At 47.5% G+C, this 24,032-nt stretch overlaps 1 protein-coding gene across 48 annotated transcripts in view, besides 3 other annotated features; it reads left to right on the forward strand.

The window, feature by feature from the left end:
• Positions 1 to 24,032, forward strand: part of TACC2 (transforming acidic coiled-coil containing protein 2) — a 265,380-nt gene that overhangs the window by 74,789 nt on the left and 166,559 nt on the right. For 44 of the 48 annotated variants that reach the window (NM_001291877.2, NM_206862.4, NM_001438366.1 and 41 more), the window contains one exon: positions 18,696 to 24,008. The exons of the other annotated variants lie outside the window; for them this stretch is intronic. In NM_001291877.2, the coding sequence (NP_001278806.2) occupies positions 18,696 to 24,008 (5,313 nt within the window). The remainder of the gene's footprint in view (positions 1 to 18,695; positions 24,009 to 24,032) is intronic. 48 annotated transcript variants of the gene reach the window in all.
• Positions 5,949 to 6,149: a silencer, noted in NCBI's record as "peak1120 fragment used in MPRA reporter construct". NCBI's record gives its function as "represses an SCP1 promoter by STARR-seq MPRAs in K562 erythroleukemia cells {active_cell/tissue: K562}" and the evidence as "EXISTENCE:reporter gene assay evidence [ECO:0000049][PMID:32103011]".
• Positions 13,153 to 13,654: an enhancer, noted in NCBI's record as "H3K4me1 hESC enhancer chr10:123836619-123837120 (GRCh37/hg19 assembly coordinates)". NCBI's record gives its function as "activates a minimal SCP1, AML or CMV promoter by ChIP-STARR-seq in primed H9 embryonic stem cells {active_cell/tissue: H9 hESC(primed)}" and the evidence as "EXISTENCE:reporter gene assay evidence [ECO:0000049][PMID:30033119]".
• Positions 21,515 to 22,016: an enhancer, noted in NCBI's record as "H3K4me1 hESC enhancer chr10:123844981-123845482 (GRCh37/hg19 assembly coordinates)". NCBI's record gives its function as "activates a minimal SCP1, AML or CMV promoter by ChIP-STARR-seq in primed H9 embryonic stem cells {active_cell/tissue: H9 hESC(primed)}" and the evidence as "EXISTENCE:reporter gene assay evidence [ECO:0000049][PMID:30033119]".

Here is a 24,032-nt window from a genome sequence, read left to right on the forward strand (position 1 = left end):
AGGAGTTTGAGACCAGCCTGGCCAACATGGTGAAACCCCGTCTCTACTAAAAATACAAAAATTAGCCGGGCGCGGTGGTGTATGCCTGTGGTCCCAGCTACTTGGGAGGCTGAGGCAGAAGAATCGCTTGAACCCAGGAGGCAGAGGTTGGAGTGAGCCAAGATCATGCCACTGCACTCCAGCTTGGGTGACAGAGCGAGACTCTGTCTCAAACAACAACAAAAAGTGTGTGTGTGTGTATATAATTTTTATATATGTATATGCACTTTAAAAATAATTAATAGGCTATTTTCAGAACAGTTTTAGGTTACCGAAAAATCGTGTAGCTATTACAAAAGAGTTCCCATGCACACTTCCCTCCTCCATACAGTTTCCCCTATTATTAACACCTCACATTAATGTGGTATATTTGTTTCAACTAATGGGCCAATATTGATACATTATTATTAACTAAAGTCTATACAGTAAGTTCTCCCTCAGTGTCATTAATATGTTCTTAGAAACTGCAATTTTAAGTGAAATGATGTATAATGAGACCAGTCTTTTTGTCATCATTTTACTGAAACTACATTGAACAAAACCACATTATTGGAGAGCCTACTCTATAACTATTTGCTCAAAGTTGCAGTTTCCAAGAACCACTGGACAACATTGAGGACTTACTATCGTTTACATTAAAGTTCAGTTTGTGTTGTACATTCTGATGAATTTGACAAATGCATAAGGTCATGTATCCGTCATTATGATATTAGTTTCACTGCCTTAAAAACCCCTTAGGCTCCACCCATTCCCCTCCCTCCATCCTCCCACATTCTTGGGAATCACTCTCTTTTTAGTGTCTCTATAGTTTTGTTCTAATTCCTTTTTTATTGGTATCAGATACATACTGTGAGTTGTCTGAATTTGAGAGCTTGATGAATGCTTATAGTCCTGTATAGATCTAGGTCATTTTCATCATACCAGATTGTTCTCTCTTGTTCCTTCCCAGTCAATACCCCTGCCCAAGAGTAACAACTATTCTGACTTCTATCACCATTGATTGGTTTTGACAGATCTTGAACTCTATATAAATGGAAGCAAATAGTATGTATGCTTTGCTCTCTGGCTTATTTTATACACGGATACTTGTTGATTTAAAAAAATTTTTTTATTGTGGTAAAGGGCAGAACATAAAATTTACCATCTTAACCGTTTCTAAGTGTACAGTTCAGTAGTATTAGGTATAATCACATTGTTGTTTGACCAGTGTCTCTGTAGTTTCTTAGCTGAGAAGCTGGCATCATTGATTTGAGACCTTATTAAAATATAGGCATTTTAGTGCTATAAATGTCACTCTGAGACCTGTTTTAACTGCGTCCCACAAATTTTGATATTTCTGTTTTCATTTTCATTCTGTTCAAATACTTTACAATTTCCTTCTTTCTTTCTTCTTTTACTCATGGACTATTCAGAAATGTGTTATTGTTTCCAAATAGTTGGGGATTTTCCAGATATCTTTCTGTTATTGATTTCTAATTTAATTTCATTGTAGCCAGATAAGATACTTTGTATAATTTGAATCATCTCAAATTTATGCACAGAATATGGTCTCCCTTGTACGTGTTCCATCTGTACTTGAAAAAAATGTTATTTTGCTATTATTGGATGGTGTTAAAAAAGTGTTAATTAAGTCAAGTTGGTCATAGTGTTGTTCACGTCATCTGTATCCACACTGATTTTCTATCCACTTGTTCAATTATTGAGAGAGGGGTTTGGAAATACCAGACTATAATTGTGGATTTGTCCATTACTCCTTTCAGTTCTAGCAGTTTTTGCTTCTTGTGTTTTGAAGCTCTGTTATTTGATAAAAATTTTTAGAATTTTTAATGTTTATTTTAGAATGTATAAAATTTTAGAATTTATATGGATAAATTGAATCCTCTATCATTATAACATTATGTTCTTTATGCCTGTAATATTTTTTGCTGCAAAATCTACTGTCTTAAATAATATAGACACAACAGCCTGATTAGTGTTTGCATAGTACATCTTCCCCTTCTTCCATTGTTTTACATTTAGCCTATTTGTGCTTTAAAAAAATTTAAGTACCTATATTGTAGGCAGCATAGAGTTGGATCTTGTTTTATTAATGCACTCTGAAAATCTATACTTTTTTTTTTTTTTGAGACAGGGTCTCACTCTATCACCCAGGCTGCTCTATCACACCAGTGCAATGGTGTGATCTTGGCTCACTGCAGCCTCCACCTCCCAGGTTCAAGTGATTCTCCTGCCTCAGCCCCCCAAGTAGCTGGGACTACAGGGGCCTGCCACCATGCCCAGCTATTTTTTTTTTTTTTTTTGAGACAGAGTCTCTGTCGCACAGGCTGGAGTACAGTGGCACAGTCTCAGCTTACTGCAACCTCCACCTCCCAGGTGCAAGTGATTCTCCTGCCTCAGCCTCCTGAGTAGCTGGGATTACAGGTGTGCACCACCACACCCAGCTAATTTTTGTATTTTTAGTAGAAAACGGGTTTTACCATGTTGGTCAGGGTGGTCTCGAACCCCTAACCTTGTGATCCGCCTGCCTTGGCCTCCCGAAGTGCTGGGATTAGAGGCGTGAGCCACCGCGCCCAGCTTAATTTTTGTATTTTCAGTAGAGATGGGGTTTCACCATGTTGGCTAGACTGGTCTCAAACTCCTGACCTCAAGTGAACTGCCTGCCTCGGCCTCCCAAAGTGTTGGGATTATAGGCAAAAGCCACCGTGCCTGGCCTAAAAATCTGTAGCTTTTAACTGGAGTGTTTATAACATTCACATTTATTGTGATTATTAATATGGTTGGTTTAAATCTATAGTCTTATTCCATTTTTCCTCCTTTTTTGCCTTCTTTTGGATTATTTTATTAGCTACAACTATTTGTGTTATTTTAGTGGTTGCTTTAAGAAGTACAATATACATCTTTAATATCTCACAATCTACTTTCACAATGATTATATCATTTTACATTTATTAGAAGAGGCTTACAACAATATGCTTCCATTTCTTCTGTTTCAGACTTTGTTCTATTTGGTCTTTATATATAAGCTACACATCCCATAATACATATTATTTGTGCTTTAATCAGCCAATTATCTTTTAAAAGAGATTTAAGTAACAAGGAAAAAGAGACTGTATTTACTTGCATAGTTACCATTTTCTGGGTGTTCTTTATTCTGTTGTGTAGATCCTGATTACCATTTTGTATTCTTTTCTTTTTGCTTGAAGGTCTTCCTTTAACATTTCCTGAAATGTAGGTCTGCTAGGGGTTATTCTTTTAGCTTTTGTATGTCTGGAAAAATCTTTATTTCACCTGGTTTAGAAAAATATTTTGTCTGGGCAAAGATTTCTAGGTAGGCAGTTTTTTTCTTTCAACACTTTAAAGATATTATTTCTGTATTCTGGCTTTCATTATTTCCAACAAAATTCTTACCTTTGTTCTTTTTTTCTCTGGCTACTTTTAATATGTTTCACTTTTTCACTGGTTTGAAGCAGTTTGGTTACGATATGCCTTGGTGGTGTAGGTTTTTCACTGTTTCTGGTTTTTTTTTTTTTTTTTTAGACACAGTCTTACTCTGTCACCCAGGCTGGAGTGCAGTGGCCTGATCTTGGCTCACTGCAACCTCCGCCTCCCAGGTTCAAGCAATTCTCCTGCCTCAGCCCCCCAAGTAGCTGGAATTATAGGCGTATGCCACCACACCTGGCTAATTTTTGTATGTTAGTAGAGATGGGGTTTCACCATGTTGGCCAGGCTGGTCTCGAACTCCTGACCTCAAGTGATCCACCCGCCTTGGCCTCCCAAAATGCTGGGATTATAGGCGTGAGCCACTGCCCTGAACACCGGCCCTCGCTGTTTCTTATGCTTGGCATTAGTTGAGATTGTTGGATATGTTGGTTAATAGTTTACATCATATTTGGAGATTTTTCAGTCATCAGTTCTTCAAATATTTTGTATCTCCCCTCCTCCTGTGGGGACTCTACACATATATTTGGTTACTTGAATTTGTCTCACAGCTCACTGATGCTTTTTTGTTGTTGTTGTTATTTCTTTCAGTCTTAATTCTCTCTGTGTTTCATTTTAGAACATTTTTATCGCTATATCTTGAAGTTCACTAATCTTTTTCTCTGCAGTGGCTAACCTGTCATTAATTTCACCCAGTGGGTTTTTTATTTTAGACATTGCAGTTTTCATCTCTAGAAGTTTGATTTGGGTCTTTTTTACATCTTCCCTCTGTGCTTGACATACTCGGTCTTCCCTCTAGCCTCCTGAACATATGGAATACAGTTATAATTCTGGAAAAAAAGTCTTTTTATAGTAATTCTATTATCTGTGTAATTTCTTGGTTCAAGACAAATTATGTTATTTTTTTTCTTTGTTATGGGTCACATTTCCCTGCTCACAGGCTGGACACTGTGGACTTTAAGCTTTTTGGGTTCTGGATATTTTCGTATTCCTATAAATGCTATTGAACTTTGCTCTGGGATGCAGTTAAGTTATTTGGAACAACTTAATCCTCTGCATCTCGCTTCATTAGATGGAACGAGAGCAGTGTTTAGGTGAGGATTAATCTTCCCCAATACTGAGACAAAACCTGCCTTTGTGCTCAGCAGATGCCTTATGAGTGATGAGGTACTCCACTCTGGCCGGTGGGAACAGGAATTATTCCCAGCTCTGTGTGAGCTGTGAGGATTGCTCCTCCGAAACCTTTTTTTTTTGAGATGGAGTCTCACGGTGTCGCCCAGGCTGGAGTGCAGTGGTGCGATCTCGGGCCACTGCAACCTCCGCTTTCCGGGTTCAAGTGATTCTCCTGTCTCAGCCTCCTGAGTAGCTAGGACTACAGACGCGCTCCACCACACCTGGCATTTTTCTGTCTGTGTGACCTAGAAGTTTTTTTTTTTTTTTTTTGTATTTTTAGTAGAGACGAGGTTTCACCATATTGGCTTGGCTGGTCTCGAACTCCTGACCTCGTGATCCACCCGCCTCAGCCTCCCAAAGTGCTGGCATTACAGGCGTGAGGCACCGCGCGGGCCCAACCTTTCAGGTGTTCTGTACCTTACCTTAGGGGGTTTCTACACCTGCACATGCCGATCAGTCCTCCCCTCTCTAGTATTCTACTCTGGGAACTGCAGCTGCCTCGGTCTCCCCAGATACACAGCTTCATCTCAAGTCAGGGCGACTGTTGGGCTCCACCTGGAACCCCCTTCTCTGTGCCGCTTTCTCCAGACCTTCAGTGGGGGCAACAGCAAGGCTTACCTCACCTCATTGTTTATTTTATTTATTTTTTTTTTTTTTTGAGACGGAGTCTCGCTCTGTCGCCCAGCCTGGAGTGCAGTGGCGCCATCTCGGCTCACTACAATCTTCACCTCCCAGATTCACACCATTCTCCTGCCTCAGCCTCCCAAGTAGCTGGGACTACAGGTGCCCACCACTACGCCCGGCTAATTTTTTATATTTTTTAGTAGAGATGGGGTTTCACCGTGTTAGCCAGGATGGTCTTGATCTCCTGACCTCATGATCCACCTGCCTTGGCCTCCCAAAGTGCTGGGATTACAGGTGTGAGCCACTGCGCCTGGCCCCCATTGTTTTCTTCTATCTCCAGGATTCCTGCTCCTCCTTTCCTCTGTCTTCCTTAGCAGCTAATCCTCCATTAGCCCAACCCTTCTTGTAGTTAATAATTCCTCATATGACGTTTTCCAACCTAGGCTCTCTGAAAACATTGAAAAGCCACCGTATCAAGTTGCTTTCTTGGGTTTTAAATAGGAATGCAGCAAAACACCTGGCATTTATTTTGGAAGAGGTGGGGAGACCCTTCTAGAAAAAAAGAATAAGAGACAAGATGCCGCGGGCAAAGTTGTTTCTCTTCTCCCTTCAAGAGCTCCTTGTATCACCGACACTTGCAGTCTCCCCTCTGTCTTGCTGTGACCTCAAATGCCAACTTTGACAGTGGTTAATCTTCCCAAACTTGTCTCTGCAGCTGTGTTAATGCTGGGAAGGAAGCTGGATGATCTTTATGTCTTTGACATTGAGCCAGCTTGGCGCCCAGTAATGTTGACTCATCCACTTTTTTCCCCAGTTTAGATTAATGGGATTACAGAGAGACGATCTCAACAAAATAGACTGGCAATGAGGATTTATTCTAAAAAGAAACCCTTCATCACATTTTTGAGCTCAGGACATAAGAGCTCAGTCTGAGACAGGTAACACCGGTAACATCTTATGCGTCAGAGAATGCCCCAAATTCTCTGAAAGACTTTCAGTCATCAAGAGACATTTCCACTATGTTCCCTGTTTTGTACAATGTTTACTGTGGCAGGAAAATGATTTTAATTAATGCTAGGAGTCTTATCAAGAAGGGATATAGACTGGGCATGGTGGCTCATGCCTATAATCCTAGCAGTTTGGGAGACTGAGGTGGGCTAATTGCTTGAGCTCAGGAGTTTGAGACCAGCCTGGGAAACATGGCAAAATCCTGTCTCTACAAAGCATAAGAAAATTAGCCAGGTTTGGGTCAGGCGCGGTGGCTGATGCCTGTAATCCCAGCATTTTGGAGGCTAAGGCGGGCGGATCACCTGAGGTCGGGAGTTGGAGACCAGCCTGACCAACATGGAGAAACCCCGTTTCTACTAAAAATACAAAATTAGCTGGGCGTGTTGGCACATGCCTGTAATCCCAGCTACTTGGGAGGCTGAGGCAGGAGAATCACTTGAACCCGGGAGGTAGAGGTTGCAGTGAGCTGAGATCTCGCCATTGCACTCCAGCCTGGGCAAGAAGAGCAAAATTCCGTCTCAAAAAAAAAAAAAAAAAAGAAATTAGCTAGGTGTGGTAATGCATGCCTGTAGCCCCAGCTACTCGGGAGGCTGAGGTGGGAGAATCACTTGAGCCTGGAGGCAGAGGTGGCAATGAGCTGAGATTGCACCCCTGTATTCCAGCCTGGGTAGCAGAGGAAGACCCTGTCTGGAAAAAAAAAAAGGGATATAACAAAAATACGTTTACCACTCTTTGTTGTTCAAAATATCCTCATGGTGTCAAAATAACATAAAAACACCACCAGAATCTAGCTATACAAGCAAAACTCTCATTTGCATTTTTCCATGAAGCACTAGCAAGGGCTTAACTTAAAATTAAGAAATGTTTATACTCAGGTAAATATTCTACCAAATCCCTTGATTTGGGCTTATTCAAGTTTTAAAGATCTTTATTGTGATTAAAAACAGGTATTTTCTCTAATGGGATAGTAGTTTTATTTTTGGTATTTGATCATTAAGAAAAGTCTGAATGATCAGAAATTATTATATCAGAATGTTATTGGCATGACTTTATCTAGACACGTTTGAAGGACAACAGACAGATGTGAAAGCCAAGTTCATTCTGGCTATGGGGAGTACTGGTGTGCAACAACCCAGCAGTAGCCCCTTCCAGCAGCCAGTCTGGGAATCACAAAATGGGGTCATTCTGTTGACTTTTAGGACCCCAGGAGAGGGTTGCTGAAAAAAATTGGTTAAAAGATAGTTTTCGAATTTTCTTTGAAATTCAGTTGCCTGTCCCCATCCCCACACTATGCTGGATAATGGATTCTCAGGAATGGAGTGGCACCTGACCTTGAAGTCATATAGAAGCTCGTATGAGGCCAGGCACAGTGGCTCACTCCTGTAATCCCAGCACTTTGGGAGGCCGAGGCAGGTGGATCATCTGAGGTCAAGAGTTCGAGACCAGGCTGGCCAACATGGGAAAACCCTGTCTCTACTAAAAATACAAAAAAAAAAAAAAAAAGTGATCTGGGCGTGGTGACGGGCACCTGTAATCCCAGCTACTCAGGAGGCTGAGGCACGAGAAATGCTTGAACCCAGAAGGTGGAGGTTGCAGTAAGCCGAGATTGCGCCACTGCACTCCAGCCTGGGCAACAGAGTGAGACTCTGTCTCAAAAAAAAAAAAAAAAAGTTCATATGACTTGTGTAGGATACTTTGGGGTTTAATCCACATCCGCATACACATGTTGATCTCCCCAATAACTCTTTTTTTTTTTTTTTTTTGAGATGGAGTCTCACTCTGTTGCTCAGGTTGGAGTGCAGTGGCGCGATCTCAGCTCACTGCAAGCTCCTCCTCTCGGGTTCACACCATTCTCCTGCCTCAACCTCCCGAGTAGCTGGGACTACAGGCGCCTGCCACTATGCCCGGCTAATTTTTGTATTTTAGTTAACCAGGATGGTCTCAATCTCCTGACCTTGTGATCCGCTTGCCTTGGTCTCCCAAAGTGCTGGGATTACAGGCGTGAGCCACCGTGCCCAGCTCCCCAGTAACTCTTTAGAATCTACACATATTTTTCAGTCATCTATTGCCTGGATTGCTCAAGCATCACGTACTTGTTTTGTTTGTTTGTTTGTTTTCTATTGAAGAATGAGCACAGCGAAGATAAAACTGGGTTAAAAATACAAAGCCAAGTCTGGCTGTCCTGCCAAGGTCAGTGGGCTCCCAGGCTTCTGTGGGGAGGGTTGTTTGGACAAGTTAGGACCATGTGTGTGGAGTGGACACAGTGTGCTAGGGTTGCAAAGAAGTTTCTGAGGAGGTGTCTTTCTCTGTGAATTACTATGTTATCACTGTTAAGACATGGCAGTTTTTCTCTCCTATTAACATTAGAATTCTTTCTTCAGCATGGATCAGTTAGAATATAAATTCCTTTTCCAAAGTCTCTGGAATAGGTGATGCCTCCCACGGTGCAGGTGTCAACCTACGTGAGCAGTTGTCGTGCCAGTACAACTGTCAGTTTAAAAATATGTATTTCTTCACTTATTTATGTATGCCATCATTCAGTCACTCATTCAACAGAGCGTAGACCCAGTGCTAGACTAAGACATAAAAATATAAATGAGGGCCGGGCGTGGCGGCTCACGCGTAATCCCAGCACTTTGGGAGGCCAAGGAGGGCAGATCATGAGGTCAGGAGATGGAGACCATCCTAGCCAACATGATGAAACCCTGACTCTACTAAAAATACAAAAAATTAGCCAGGCGTGGTGGCGCGGGCCTGTAGTCCCAGCTGCTAGGGAGGCTGAGGCAGGAGAATCGCTTGAACCCAGGAGGCGGAGCTTGCAGTGAGCCAAGATCACGCCATTGGACTCCAGCCTGGGTGACAGACTCTGTCTCAAAAAAAAAAAAAAAAAAAAATATATATATATATATATATATATATACACACACACACACGCATACATGAGATGAGCTCACTTTAACCTTGGGGGGATCCAAATCAAGAGGCCATGGCAGGTACTGAGAGAGTGTCTGTACACAGGGCCTGGGGAGTGGCATGCAGCCCCGGGAAGGGGAGCAGGGGGTCTCACCATGGAGACGGGGAAGGAGACATCCTACCTTGGGAAGGTTTGAGAACTCCATGTGTTCAGAGACCTGATTTGGCTTTTGCTCTGAGACACAAAAGAGCAGTTCACATCTTCCTGGTTGACAAGCAGATCCCACCTGGGAGAGGTGAGAGGTGAGAGGTGAACAGTGTGTTTTGGAAACTATCCATGTCGTCCTCTCAAGGGCATCTGAAATGTCCTTACCAATTCTTCTTTTAATGTAAGGCTGTGCTTTCCACAGTGTGTTCTGTGGCCCATCATCCTACTAAAAGCTCTACTGAGAAAAAGGCAACGGAAGGTTTCCAAGAAACAAATTTGGGAAACAGTGTATATGTATCTTCTTGTTGACTCACGAGGCACAGTGGTTTCTCAAAGGCTCTGAGAAATCCTGCGGTAGAAAAGCTTGTTTAACCGCACTTCACCTAGTGCTTCCCACATTCCTTGGACAGAGGAAGCTTCATTCTTTTTTTTTTATGTTTTTTGAGATAGGGTCTTGCTTTGTCAGCCAGGCTGGACTGCAGTGGCGCAATCTCGGCTTACTGCAAACTCCGCCTCCTGGGTTCACACCATTCTCCTGCCTCAGCCTCCCAAGTAGCTGGGACTACAGGCACCCGCCACCATGCCCGGCTAATTTTTTTGTATGTTTTATAGAGACAGGGTTTCACCATGTTAGCCAGGATGGTCTGGATCTCCTGACCTTGTGATCTGCCCACCTCGGCCTCCCAAAGTGCTGGGATTACAGGCGTAAGTCACAGCACCCGGCATCTTTTTTTTTTTTTTTTTGAGACGGAGTATCGCTCTGTTGCACAGGCTGGAATGCAGTGGCGTGATCTTGGCTCACAGCAACCTCTGCCTCCCAAGTTCAAGCGATTCTCCTGCCTCAGCCTCCTGAGTAGCTGGGACTACAGGTGCCTGCCAACTTGCCCAGCTAATTTTTGTATTTTTAGTAGAGACGGAGTTTTACCATGTTAACCAGGCTGTCTTGAACTCCTGACCTCAGGTGATCCACCTGCCTCGGCCTCCCAAAGTGCTGGGATTATAGGTATGACCCACTGTGCCCAGCCTAGGAAGCTTCATTCTTACACACCTAGCAGTCATATATTAGAAGCACTGAGTTTGGTTTTTAAAAGCCCTTCATAGAGTTGTAAACTATGGAGGGCATTTCCTATGTAACTTTTGTTAGCCATTAATAATTGATGCAGAATGACCTATCAGAGTTGGCTCAGTCACTGAAGTTCTTGAGGGGACTGTTTCTTAAGCAGTCTTTTCAGCTTGGGATGGAAAAGGGAAAAAAGAGAGAGTTGGGAGTGGGTCAAATACAGGGATTAGAGTGCTGGAGAGAATTCTGACCATTCACAACCACACAGCACCTTGCCTACCAGACTTATGATTGATGGAGAGAAAAATATGCAAAGCCGAGGACAGGAATAAAGACAGTGAATTGACTAGGTGACTGCAGAAGCTTATCTGTGTCACTGTGAAGATCTACGTGGTCCCCGAATTAACTGGTTTTATTCTGATTTCATGTCAGGTAGGACTGAAAACCTTCTGGAGTTTCATTTCCTTTCTTTGGGCACGGTCTCAGCCTTCCTTCTCCTGAAGAAGTCATTCGCACAACATATCCCATGGGCCAATTCAGATCTTGACAAGCCCTCAGAATGTGTGAGGAAATAGAGCACTTTGGACATCCTAAATGTTGGTGGGGTTTGGGGAGCTAATTAATCGCAACCCTTTCCACCAGACTCTAAATTATGAAATAGATGCCACAGTCAGAGAAAGATAAGAAAGTCAACAGTATAGGGCAACCCGCTCGGGTCCCTTTCCACGCTGTGGAAGCTTTTTTCTTTCGCTCTTCACAATAAATCTTGCTGCCAAAAAAAAAAAAAAAGAAAGAAAGAAAGAAAGTCAGCAGTATCATGGCAAGGTTAGGCTGCAGGATGCCAAAACCGGAATCCTCCTACCTACCCCCGAACCATCCTTCCCCACCAAGTCCCAAGCTGCATCAGTGCAGGTGCCATGAAGGATGGGGAAGGCTGGCCCAGGGAGCTCGTCACGTGGCAAATAGCTGCGAGAGGAGAAGGGGCTGCATTGTGGTAGTTCATCTCAAGGACCTCGAACACCTTAACCCCACCCATGGGGAAACTGGACTCACGGGGGCTGGCTCTCCCCATATCACCACTCGGAGAAATCTCCTCCAATGGACGTGACCATAAGGGGGCAAAGAATATGGCAGAAGCATCATACTTCACTGAGAACTCAGAAGTGTTGGGAAAGTCTCTAATTTGAGGGCCCAGGCAGGAATGTGGGGAGCTGGGGATCACCTTTCAGTCCTCGAATCCTCTCATCTCCACCACAGCTGCTGCCTCTGTTAACATTTATTTGAGTTGGCAGTTCTCAGAGGCTAGTCAGTCTTACTTAGTCTGTGTTCTGTTGCTTATCGCAGAATACATGAAACTGGAGCATTTATAAAGAAAAATAATTGATTTCTTTTTTTTATTGTTGAGACAGGGTCTTGCTCTGTTGCCCAAGGCTGGAGTGCAGTGGCATGATGTCAGCTCATGGCAGCCTCCGCCTCCTGGATTCAAGCAATCCTCCTGCTTCAGCCTCCCAAGTAGCTGGGATTACAGGTGCCTGCCACCACAATTTTTGTATTTTTTTATTTTTAGTAGAGACAGGGTTTCACCATGTTGGCCAGGCTGGTCTTGAACTCCTGATCTCAGGTGGTCCGCCCACCTCGGCCTCCCAAAGTGGTGGGATTACAGGCGTGAGCCACTGCACCTAGCATTGATTTCTTACGGTTATGGAGGCTGAGAAGTCCAAGGGCAAGGGGCTGCTCCTGGTGAGGGCATTCTTGCTGGTGGGGCTTCTGTAGAGTTATGAGGTGGCGCAGGACATCACTGGTAAAAGAAATGAGCATACTAGCTCAAGTCTCCCTTCCTCTTTGCATAAAGCCACCATGATAACCCAGTAATCCATGAATGGATTAACCTATTCCTGAGGGCAGGGCCTTCACAACCCAATCACCTTCACCTCTTAAAGGCCCCCACCTTTCAACATGATTAAGTTTGGGGATTAAGTTTCAGCGGGAGTTTGAAGGGGAAAACATTCATTCAATCCATTGCACTAACCCACTGGCTTTCATTCTACCCCGGCTTTCCTTTTCCAGAAGGCACACCGGAATGCAACGAGTAGCAGTGATGATGTTATGTTAGGAAATCTTCTAATCTTTTGAATTATAGTAATTTATGAAAATAACAAATCATTCACAGGCTTTAGTACTTTATAATTAGTCACAAATTACTTGCAGTGCATGCCCTGACACATTAGACCTACCAGTGAGTGTAGAGGTGTGTGATTGAGAAGTGCTGCCTTAACTTTGTTTCACAGAAGTATTAAAAAAAAAAAAAGTACTTTGCCTTTTCTGGGCCTCAGTTTCCTCATTTGTAAAATGAGAGGTTTGGACTAATGAATTACTGGAATGCTATGCTTGATGGAAGAAAAGAATGTTCATGATCTGGGCCGGGTGCGGTGGCTCATGTCTATAATCCGAGCACTTTAGGAGGCTAAGGCGGACGGATCACTTGAGCTCAGGAGTTCGAGACCAGCCTGGCCAACATAACAAAACCCTATCTCTACTAAAAATATGAAAATTAGCTGGGCATGGTGGCAAAGGCCTGTAATCCCAGCCACTCGGGAGGCTGAGACACGAGAATTGCCTGAACCCAGGAGGCGGAGGTTGCAGTGAGCAGAGATTGCGCCACTGCACTCCAGCCTGGGTGACAGAGTGAGACTCTGTCTCAAAAAAAAAAAAAAAAAAAAGAATGTTCATAATCTTCTAGTGAAACAACCACGATTTGGGTGCATCTCTGTATATTTAGTATCCTTGATTTGGGTTCAGTTGTTTCTGTCCATCCTTCTAGCCATCCATCCTGGCACTCACTCGTACATTCATATATCAACAACATTTTATTGTTTGTTATATGCCAGGCACCAGGGATATGATATTGAAAGGAGACTAGGACCTGGCCTCCATTACACTCCAATAGGGAAAACAGTCACCAACCATAGTGATGGGAACCATGACTAGCGCTAGGTGGGCCTGTGAAAGAAACTGATCTGGGAGCCCAGGCCAGGGAGGCTACCCTGAGAAGCGAAGAGTGGAGCTGCAACCTGGTGGGGAGCAGAGGGCTGCAGGCTCCAGGCAGATGCATGGCTGGGGAGCTTCATGCGGAATGAGGCAGGAGAGGGAGGTTGGGGCCACAACTGAGAGCAAAGCGAAGCCACAGTGGGGTGACAGGAGCAGACTTTGATTTCTAAGCTGTTGGTCTGGCCACAGCTGGCAGAACAGAATGAAGGGGGCCAGAGAGGATGGGAGAAGGGAATGCTGCACTTGTTCGGTGAGAGGCTGGTGCAGGCAGCCAGTACAAGGCAACGGGAGGCAGCGCCACAGGGCTCAATCTTGCTTTGCGTTACCGGCTCTTTGACCCTGGGTCCTGTCTTGAACTTCTTCGGGAAAATGTCCTTGTGTGTACAATGGGGCCACCCTTCTACCAGGCTGTTGTGTGGATTAAGCGCAATCGTAACTGAAAAGTGCCCAGGCCAGGCTCAGTGGCTCACTCCTGTAATCCCAACACTTTGGGAGGCCGAGGCGGGCAGATCACCTGAAGTCAGGAGTTAGAGACCAGCCTGGCCAATATGGTGAAATCCCATCTCTACTAAAAATACAAAAATTAGCCGGGCATGGTGGTGCACGCCTGTAGTCCAGGCCACTCGGGAGACTGAGGCAGGAGAATTGCTTGAACTCAGGAGGTGGAGGTTGCAGTAAGCTGAGATTGTGCCACTGCACTCCAGCCTGGGCGACAGAGCGAGACTCCATCTCCAAAAAAAAAAAAAAAAAAAAAAAAAAAAAGTGCCCAGAGGGTCTGGCCTGAGTCAGTGTTTAGTACATGGCAACTCTCTATCTTTACGGCTTTGCTTTATGGTTTTGCCGACTCCTGAAAACCTGGTCGTGCAGGGGCCATGTTTGTGTTTTCTGTAGCTGGCCTCCTTCCTCCCTTTAAGCATTGCATGTGTGTGTGTTTCCAGAACTATGCATTTAAGAACCCATCTGCATCCCCATCATCTGCTCAGACCTTGGTTGTGGCAGATGACCCCCTGCCAGCCCCTGCCCATGCTTCTCCCTTCACTGTGCTGTGTACATCTGGTCTGTGATGGAGGCTCTAGTCCCTGGGCCCTCCCTGACCTCCACACAGAGGCAGTGCCCCCAGAGGGTGAAAGGCTTCCATTCGGGGTGCTGGCCTGCGGATTCTGAGCAGAGGCTCTATCCCACACATTTCAACTCAATCTCGAAGCATAAAAGGATATTATGTAAGCTTCAACTAATGCACAGCCCTCAACAGATCAGTTCTTAGAATTTTTCCTGCCCTTAGGCAGATCTGCTCCTGGTGAGCAGCTTTAATCTGGCTTTAAAAATTACTTCTGATGGATAATCAAAGAGATTGCTGGTACCCAGCTTATGCTAAATAAACCAATGTCTGGGTTCTTATTTGGGAGGAGTTGTTGTGTGTCCCATACTCCATGGAAAATTTGTTCCTGGTTGCTTTCTGATAAGACCGCACAAGTTTACAAGATGCCAAAATATAATTTATCATCTTGTTCCAGATGGTAACGACTTCAGCCAGCCTGAAGGGAAGCCACATCCTTTCCTAAGTTGGCAGTTCCTGTCAGAGGCGTGGACAAGAAAGTGGCTTCGTTTCTTTCCAGCTTGATAAAGCCGACATAAATAGGAGCACTTCATTTCTGAATTACACACCATTACTCTTATCACATACTAAACTGTTTGACTTCAGTTAATGGGTGGGACATAATGAAATGTAAAGTGCTTGTTACAAGGAAAATTGCCAGGTCCAGATGCTGAGCAGCGAAGGGTGGGGGAGGAGGCATCGGGTTTCGTTCTGGACCTGGTGCTTTCCAGAAAGCCAGGCCAAGACACTTTATCCAAACCCCAAGTAGTTTTCCAGATGTCAGCCCACTCGGGCCAGGGCTCTCCATGGGCCCATCTGTCTTCCGTGACCATTTGTGAATCGGAGGGTTTTATATAATTTACCCTCTGAGTTTTCTCTTTTTTGGCCTACTCAGCTCTGCTTTTGGGTCAGAAAATGCAAATCTGGTTGAGACAGTAGCCAGCTCTCTTTTGGGTCCTCAGGCACCATTCCCATGTCCTATGTGCAGGAACAGGCATTAGATAAAGATGAGTGCAGGGGTGGTTCTGTGTACATGCCTCCTTCAGGGATGTCAAATGACGCCGCGTGTACTTCAGAGGTGAGGAGCAGGACAGAGAGGCTGGAATGGGGCTGGGGGAAGAGGCTCTTGCCTTCCTTGGAAGTTTTTATTCTGCATAGCAGAGTGAATAAGAAGATTGTGTCCAGTGGAATCAGATGTCCATGTTGAGATCCATGCTTAGCCTCTGTTCTCCAGGGTTCTCATCTGCAAATGGCATGGGTGGTACCCACCTTGCACAGCTGTTGGCAGGGCTAAATGAGATAATCCACACAAAGCACTGAGGCCTAGTGAATTTCATCTGTTATTATTTTCCCAACTTTTTGTTTTGGAAAAACTGAAACCTCAAAAATGTTGAAAGGATGGGACAGTAAATACCCACCTGTCTATGGTATTAGTCTGCTCGGGCTGCCATAAGAAAACACCACAACTTGAGTGACTTAAAATACAGAAATGTATTTTCTCCTGGTTCTGGAGGCTGGAAGTCCTGGTCAGGGTGCTGGTGGAGTTGGTTTCTGGTGAGGCCTTTCTTCCCAGCTTGCAGAAGACACCTGCTTTTGATGTTCTCACATAGCTTTTCCTTTGTGTATCTGCATTCCTGGTGTCTCTTCCTTTCCTTTTTTTTTTTTTGTTTTTTTTTTGTGTTTTTTTGTTTTGAGACAGAGTCTCACTCTGTTGCCCAGGCTGGAGTGCAGTGACATGTTCTCAGCTCACTGCAGCCTCAACCTCCAGCACTCAAGTGATCCTCCCACGTCAGCCTCCTGAGTAGCTGGGACTACAGGTGTGCACCACCATGCCCAGTTGATTTTCATATTTCTTTTTAGAGATGGAGTTTCGCCATGTTGCCCAGGCTGGTCTTGAACTCCTGAGCTCAAGTGATCTGCCTGCCTCAGCCTCCCAAAATGTTGGGATTACAGGTGTGAGCCATGCACCCGGCCTCTTCCTCTTCTTATAAAGAACACCAGTCCTATCAGATTAGGGCCTCACTACTATAACTTCACTTAATCCCAACTGCCTCCTTAAAGTGCCTGCCTCCAAATACAGTCACATTGGGGATTAGGGCTTCAACATATGGATTTGAGGGGGGCACAGTTCAGTTCATAGCACATATTTTAAAAATTTAACAATAATGCACTTCACCATCTCACTGTATGCATCCCTCATGTATGAATGCATGTGCACTGCCTGGTGTGGAAAACTGGAATTTTGGTAGCGGACATTGAGAGGAGAATCTTTCCACTAGCCCCCTCCAGAACGCTGTGGGCTTATGTGTGTGTGAATATGTGTGCATGTAACAAACAGTTACAAAAAGATTCCATAAATTTTCCTTTGATATTTCCCCTATAATAACTTTAAAGAAAATGGTAAAAGCTTTAGAAAAACCATACTTATGTTAACTTTGTCTTGAGGAATTTCTCTTGTTAATAGAATATATATGATCATAACAAGTATATAGAATCACAATTATGTAAAAATAACAAGAATTGTACCCCCAAACAATTGTGTAGGAAAAATCAGGAAATTCACTAGAACTCTGAAAGTGGCAAGCATGTAGCAGTATTTTTTCTGATTTTTTTTTCCTACATTTTCCACACTTTGTGTTGGCCACATATTATTTTTAAAATTAAAAATTGCACAGCATTGACTAGGCGTGGTGGCTCACGCCTGTAATCCCAGCACTTTGGGAGGCTGAGGCGGGCAGATCACGAGGTTAGGAGATCGAGACCATCCTGGCTAACATGGTGAGACCCCATCTCTACTAAAACTACAAAAAAAAAAAAAAATTAGCTGGGCGTGGTGGCGGGCTTCTGCAGTCCCAGCTACCCGGGAGGCTGAGGCAGGAGAATGGCGTGAACCCAGGAGGCAGAGCTTGCAGTGAGCCGAGATCGCACCACTGCACTCCAGCCTGGGTGACAGAGTGAGACTCCGTCTCAAAAAAAAAAAAAAAAAGGCACAGCATTAAAACTGTGTAGAATTGAGCAACATAGTCCAAATACATCATGTAATAAGCCATTTTATAATAACTGGATAGTTAGTTATCTGTAGTAAGTTCAAAATTCAGAGCCAAGTTCCCCCAAGTTCCCTGAGTGTTTCACTTTTTTTCGCCACACATTACCCAGATAAGTGTTCAAGTTAAGACAAATATGGGTATGAAGGTGATTCAGCTCCCAAGATTTATACATAGGTCACGTGCGGAAATTCCATAGCCAAATATAAATGATTTTGGGGTTATGCCTGTCCCTGTCTCACCTGTTAAATGTGAAGAATCAAGTTAACTATTACCAGGAATGGCTCTTTATTTCAAAGCCTGGCTTTGCCAACTTGTGCTTTTTCCTGAACATCTAAGGATCCCCAGGGGTGCTGGAGACCTGCCTGTAATCTTCACAGGACTGGTTCAAATCCCCTGTTATGATTTACTCTTATTAACAACTTTCTGAGTTGTCAGCACGGTGGCTCACGCCTATAATTCCAGCACTTTGGGAGGCTGAGGTGGGAAGATTGCTTGAGTTTGAGACCAGCCTGAGCAACATGGCAAGACCCCATCTCTACAAAAAATTTAAAAATTAGCTGGGTGTGGTGGTGCAAACCTGTGGTCCCAGCTACTTGGGAGGTTGAGGTGGGAGCACTGCTTGAGCCGAGGAGGCCTAAGCTGCAGTAAGCTATCATTGTGCCACTGCACCTCAGCCTGGGTGACAGGGCAAGACCCTGTCTCAAACAAACAAACAAACAAAACCTTTTTGGGTTTCCCACATTTTATACTACTATAAATGAGTTGCCACATTTCTCTATTCACTGCTGATCAGCATGGAAGGCCCACACTGAGTGTTTGAGATACCCTGCAGTGGTTTTTGGGGGAAACGAGGGCATGCATAATGGTTATGGGAGGGGTGCAGGGGGCTCTCACAGAGAGGAATGAGCTGCATGAGGATGCTGTGTCTGTGGTTAGGGCACTTGATGCCCTTTTGTGGGGGTGGGTTGGGGGGTGACCTGCCTGCAGTGTGGCTCTGTCCTTGGCATCCATGATAACCAATGAAACATTAAATATTTTCAGCATTGGCAGCGTTGGGCTTGGAGGCTTCTGCACCGCTTCTGAGAGTTCTGCCAGCCTGGATCCATGCCTTGTGTCCCCAGAGGTGACTGAGCCAAGGAAGGACCCACAGGGAGCCAGGGGGCCAGAAGGTTCTTTGCTGCCCAGCCCACCACCGTCCCAGGAGCGAGAGCACCCCTCGTCCTCCATGCCCTTTGCCGAGTGTCCCCCGGAAGGTTGCTTGGCAAGTCCAGCAGCGGCACCTGAAGATGGTCCTCAGACTCAGTCTCCCAGGAGGGAACCTGCCCCAAATGCCCCAGGAGACATCGCGGCGGCATTTCCCGCTGAGAGGGACAGCTCTACTCCATACCAAGAGATTGCTGCCGTCCCCAGTGCTGGAAGAGAGAGACAGCCGAAGGAAGAAGGACAGAAGTCCTCCTTCTCCTTCTCCAGTGGCATCGACCAGTCACCTGGAATGTCGCCAGTACCCCTCAGAGAGCCAATGAAGGCACCGCTGTGTGGAGAGGGGGACCAGCCTGGTGGTTTTGAGTCCCAAGAGAAAGAGGCTGCAGGTGGCTTTCCCCCTGCAGAGTCCAGGCAGGGGGTGGCTTCTGTGCAAGTGACCCCTGAGGCCCCTGCTGCAGCCCAGCAGGGCACAGAAAGCTCAGCGGTCTTGGAGAAGTCCCCCCTAAAACCCATGGCCCCGATCCCACAAGATCCAGCCCCAAGAGCCTCAGACAGAGAAAGAGGCCAAGGGGAGGCGCCGCCTCAGTATTTAACAGATGACTTGGAATTCCTCAGGGCCTGCCATCTCCCTAGGAGCAATTCAGGGGCTGCCCCAGAAGCAGAAGTGAATGCCGCTTCCCAGGAGAGCTGCCAGCAGCCAGTGGGAGCATATCTGCCGCACGCAGAGCTGCCCTGGGGCTTGCCAAGTCCTGCCCTGGTGCCAGAGGCTGGGGGCTCTGGGAAGGAGGCTCTGGACACCATTGATGTTCAGGGTCACCCACAGACAGGGATGCGAGGAACCAAGCCCAATCAAGTTGTCTGTGTGGCAGCAGGCGGCCAGCCCGAAGGGGGTTTGCCTGTGAGCCCTGAACCTTCCCTGCTCACTCCGACTGAGGAAGCACATCCAGCTTCAAGCCTCGCTTCATTCCCAGCTGCTCAGATTCCTATTGCTGTAGAAGAACCTGGATCATCATCCAGGGAATCAGTTTCCAAGGCTGGGATGCCAGTTTCTGCAGATGCAGCCAAAGAGGTGGTGGATGCAGGGTTGGTGGGACTGGAGAGGCAGGTGTCAGATCTTGGAAGCAAGGGAGAGCATCCAGAAGGGGACCCTGGAGAGGTTCCTGCCCCATCACCCCAGGAGAGGGGAGAGCACTTGAACACGGAGCAAAGCCATGAGGTCCAACCAGGAGTACCACCCCCTCCTCTTCCCAAGGAGCAAAGCCATGAGGTCCAACCAGGAGCACCACCCCCTCCTCTTCCCAAGGCACCAAGTGAAAGTGCCAGAGGGCCACCGGGGCCAACGGATGGAGCCAAGGTCCATGAAGATTCCACAAGCCCAGCCGTGGCTAAAGAAGGAAGCAGATCACCTGGTGACAGCCCTGGAGGAAAGGAGGAAGCCCCAGAGCCACCTGATGGTGGAGACCCAGGGAACCTGCAAGGAGAGGACTCTCAGGCTTTCAGCAGCAAGCGTGATCCAGAAGTAGGCAAAGATGAGCTTTCAAAGCCAAGCAGTGATGCAGAGAGCAGAGACCATCCCAGCTCACACTCAGCACAGCCACCCAGAAAGGGGGGTGCTGGGCACACGGACGGGCCCCACTCTCAGACAGCAGAGGCTGATGCATCTGGCCTACCACACAAGCTGGGTGAGGAGGACCCCGTCCTGCCCCCTGTGCCAGATGGAGCTGGTGAGCCCACTGTTCCCGAAGGAGCCATCTGGGAGGGGTCAGGATTGCAGCCCAAATGTCCTGACACCCTTCAGAGCAGGGAAGGATTGGGAAGAATGGAGTCTTTCCTGACTTTAGAATCAGAGAAATCAGATTTTCCACCAACTCCTGTTGCAGAGGTTGCACCCAAAGCCCAGGAAGGTGAGAGCACATTGGAAATAAGGAAGATGGGCAGCTGTGATGGGGAGGGCTTGCTGACGTCCCCAGATCAACCCCGCGGGCCGGCGTGTGATGCGTCGAGACAGGAATTTCATGCTGGGGTGCCACATCCCCCCCAGGGGGAGAACTTGGCAGCAGACCTGGGGCTCACGGCACTCATCCTGGACCAAGATCAGCAGGGAATCCCATCCTGCCCAGGGGAAGGCTGGATAAGAGGAGCTGCATCCGAGTGGCCCCTACTATCTTCTGAGAAGCATCTCCAGCCATCCCAGGCACAACCAGAGACATCCATCTTTGACGTGCTCAAGGAGCAGGCCCAGCCACCTGAAAATGGGAAAGAGACTTCTCCAAGCCATCCAGGTTTTAAGGACCAGGGAGCAGATTCTTCCCAAATCCATGTACCTGTGGAACCTCAGGAAGATAACAACTTGCCCACTCATGGAGGACAGGAGCAGGCTTTGGGATCAGAACTTCAAAGTCAGCTCCCCAAAGGCACCCTGTCTGATACTCCAACTTCATCTCCCACTGACATGGTTTGGGAGAGTTCTCTGACAGAAGAGTCAGAATTGTCAGCACCAACGAGACAGAAGTTGCCTGCACTAGGGGAGAAGCGGCCAGAGGGAGCATGCGGTGATGGTCAGTCCTCGAGGGTCTCGCCTCCAGCAGCAGATGTCTTAAAAGACTTTTCTCTTGCAGGGAACTTCAGCAGAAAGGAAACTTGCTGCACTGGGCAGGGGCCAAACAAGTCTCAACAGGCATTGGCTGATGCCTTGGAAGAAGGCAGCCAGCATGAAGAAGCATGTCAAAGGCATCCAGGAGCTTCTGAAGCAGCTGATGGTTGTTCCCCACTCTGGGGCTTGAGTAAGAGGGAGATGGCAAGTGGAAACACAGGGGAGGCCCCACCTTGTCAGCCTGACTCAGTAGCTCTCCTGGATGCAGTTCCCTGCCTGCCAGCCCTGGCGCCCGCCAGCCCCGGAGTCACACCCACCCAGGATGCCCCAGAGACAGAGGCATGTGATGAAACCCAGGAAGGCAGGCAGCAACCAGTGCCGGCCCCGCAGCAGAAAATGGAGTGCTGGGCCACTTCGGATGCAGAGTCCCCAAAGCTTCTTGCAAGTTTCCCATCAGCTGGGGAGCAAGGTGGTGAAGCCGGGGCTGCTGAGACTGGTGGCAGCGCTGGTGCAGGAGACCCAGGAAAGCAGCAGGCTCCGGAGAAACCTGGAGAAGCTACTTTGAGTTGTGGCCTCCTTCAGACTGAGCACTGCCTTACCTCCGGGGAGGAAGCTTCTACCTCTGCCCTACGTGAGTCCTGCCAAGCTGAGCACCCCATGGCCAGCTGCCAGGATGCCTTGCTGCCAGCCAGAGAGCTGGGTGGGATTCCCAGGAGCACCATGGATTTTTCTACACACCAGGCTGTCCCAGACCCAAAGGAGCTCCTGCTGTCTGGGCCACCAGAAGTGGCTGCTCCTGACACCCCTTACCTGCATGTCGACAGTGCTGCCCAGAGAGGAGCAGAAGACAGTGGAGTGAAAGCTGTTTCCTCTGCAGACCCCAGAGCTCCTGGCGAAAGCCCCTGTCCTGTAGGGGAGCCCCCACTTGCCTTGGAAAATGCTGCCTCCTTGAAGCTGTTTGCTGGCTCCCTCGCCCCCCTGTTGCAACCAGGAGCTGCAGGTGGGGAAATCCCTGCAGTGCAAGCCAGCAGTGGTAGTCCCAAAGCCAGAACCACTGAGGGACCAGTGGACTCCATGCCATGCCTGGACCGGATGCCACTTCTGGCCAAGGGCAAGCAGGCAACAGGGGAAGAGAAAGCAGCAACAGCTCCAGGTGCAGGTGCCAAGGCCAGTGGGGAGGGCATGGCAGGTGATGCAGCAGGAGAGACAGAGGGCAGCATGGAGAGGATGGGAGAGCCTTCCCAGGACCCAAAGCAGGGCACATCAGGTGGTGTGGACACAAGCTCTGAGCAAATCGCCACCCTCACTGGCTTCCCAGACTTCAGGGAGCACATCGCCAAGATCTTCGAGAAGCCTGTGCTCGGAGCCCTGGCCACACCTGGAGAAAAGGCAGGAGCTGGGAGGAGTGCAGTGGGTAAAGACCTCACCAGGCCATTGGGCCCAGAGAAGCTTCTAGATGGGCCTCCAGGAGTGGATGTCACCCTTCTCCCTGCACCTCCTGCTCGACTCCAGGTGGAGAAGAAGCAACAGTTGGCTGGAGAGGCTGAGATTTCCCATCTGGCTCTGCAAGATCCAGCTTCAGACAAGCTTCTGGGTCCAGCAGGGCTGACCTGGGAGCGGAACTTGCCAGGTGCCGGTGTGGGGAAGGAGATGGCAGGTGTCCCACCCACACTGAGGGAAGACGAGAGGCCAGAGGGGCCTGGGGCAGCCTGGCCAGGCCTGGAAGGCCAGGCTTACTCACAGCTGGAGAGGAGCAGGCAGGAATTAGCTTCAGGTCTTCCTTCACCAGCAGCTACTCAGGAGCTCCCTGTGGAGAGAGCTGCTGCCTTCCAGGTGGCTCCCCATAGCCATGGAGAAGAGGCCGTGGCCCAAGACAGAATTCCTTCTGGAAAGCAGCACCAGGAAACATCTGCCTGCGACAGTCCACATGGAGAAGATGGTCCCGGGGACTTTGCTCACACAGGGGTTCCAGGACATGTGCCAAGGTCCACGTGTGCCCCTTCTCCTCAGAGGGAGGTTTTGACTGTGCCTGAGGCCAACAGTGAGCCCTGGACCCTTGACACGCTTGGGGGTGAAAGGAGACCCGGAGTCACTGCTGGCATCTTGGAAATGCGAAATGCCCTGGGCAACCAGAGCACCCCTGCACCACCAACTGGAGAAGTGGCAGACACTCCCCTGGAGCCTGGCAAGGTGGCAGGCGCTGCTGGGGAAGCAGAGGGTGACATCACCCTGAGCACAGCTGAGACACAGGCATGTGCGTCCGGTGATCTGCCTGAAGCAGGTACTACGAGGACATTCTCCGTTGTGGCAGGTGACTTGGTGCTGCCAGGAAGCTGTCAGGACCCAGCCTGCTCTGACAAGGCTCCGGGGATGGAGGGTACAGCTGCCCTTCATGGGGACAGCCCAGCCAGGCCCCAGCAGGCTAAGGAGCAGCCAGGGCCTGAGCGCCCCATTCCAGCTGGGGATGGGAAGGTGTGCGTCTCCTCACCTCCAGAGCCTGACGAAACTCACGACCCGAAGCTGCAACATTTGGCTCCAGAAGAGCTCCACACTGACAGGTACTTAAATGAAAAAATTCCCAC

This window comes from Homo sapiens, chromosome 10, assembly GCF_000001405.40.
Source record: "Homo sapiens chromosome 10, GRCh38.p14 Primary Assembly".
NCBI lineage: Eukaryota > Metazoa > Chordata > Mammalia > Primates > Hominidae > Homo > Homo sapiens.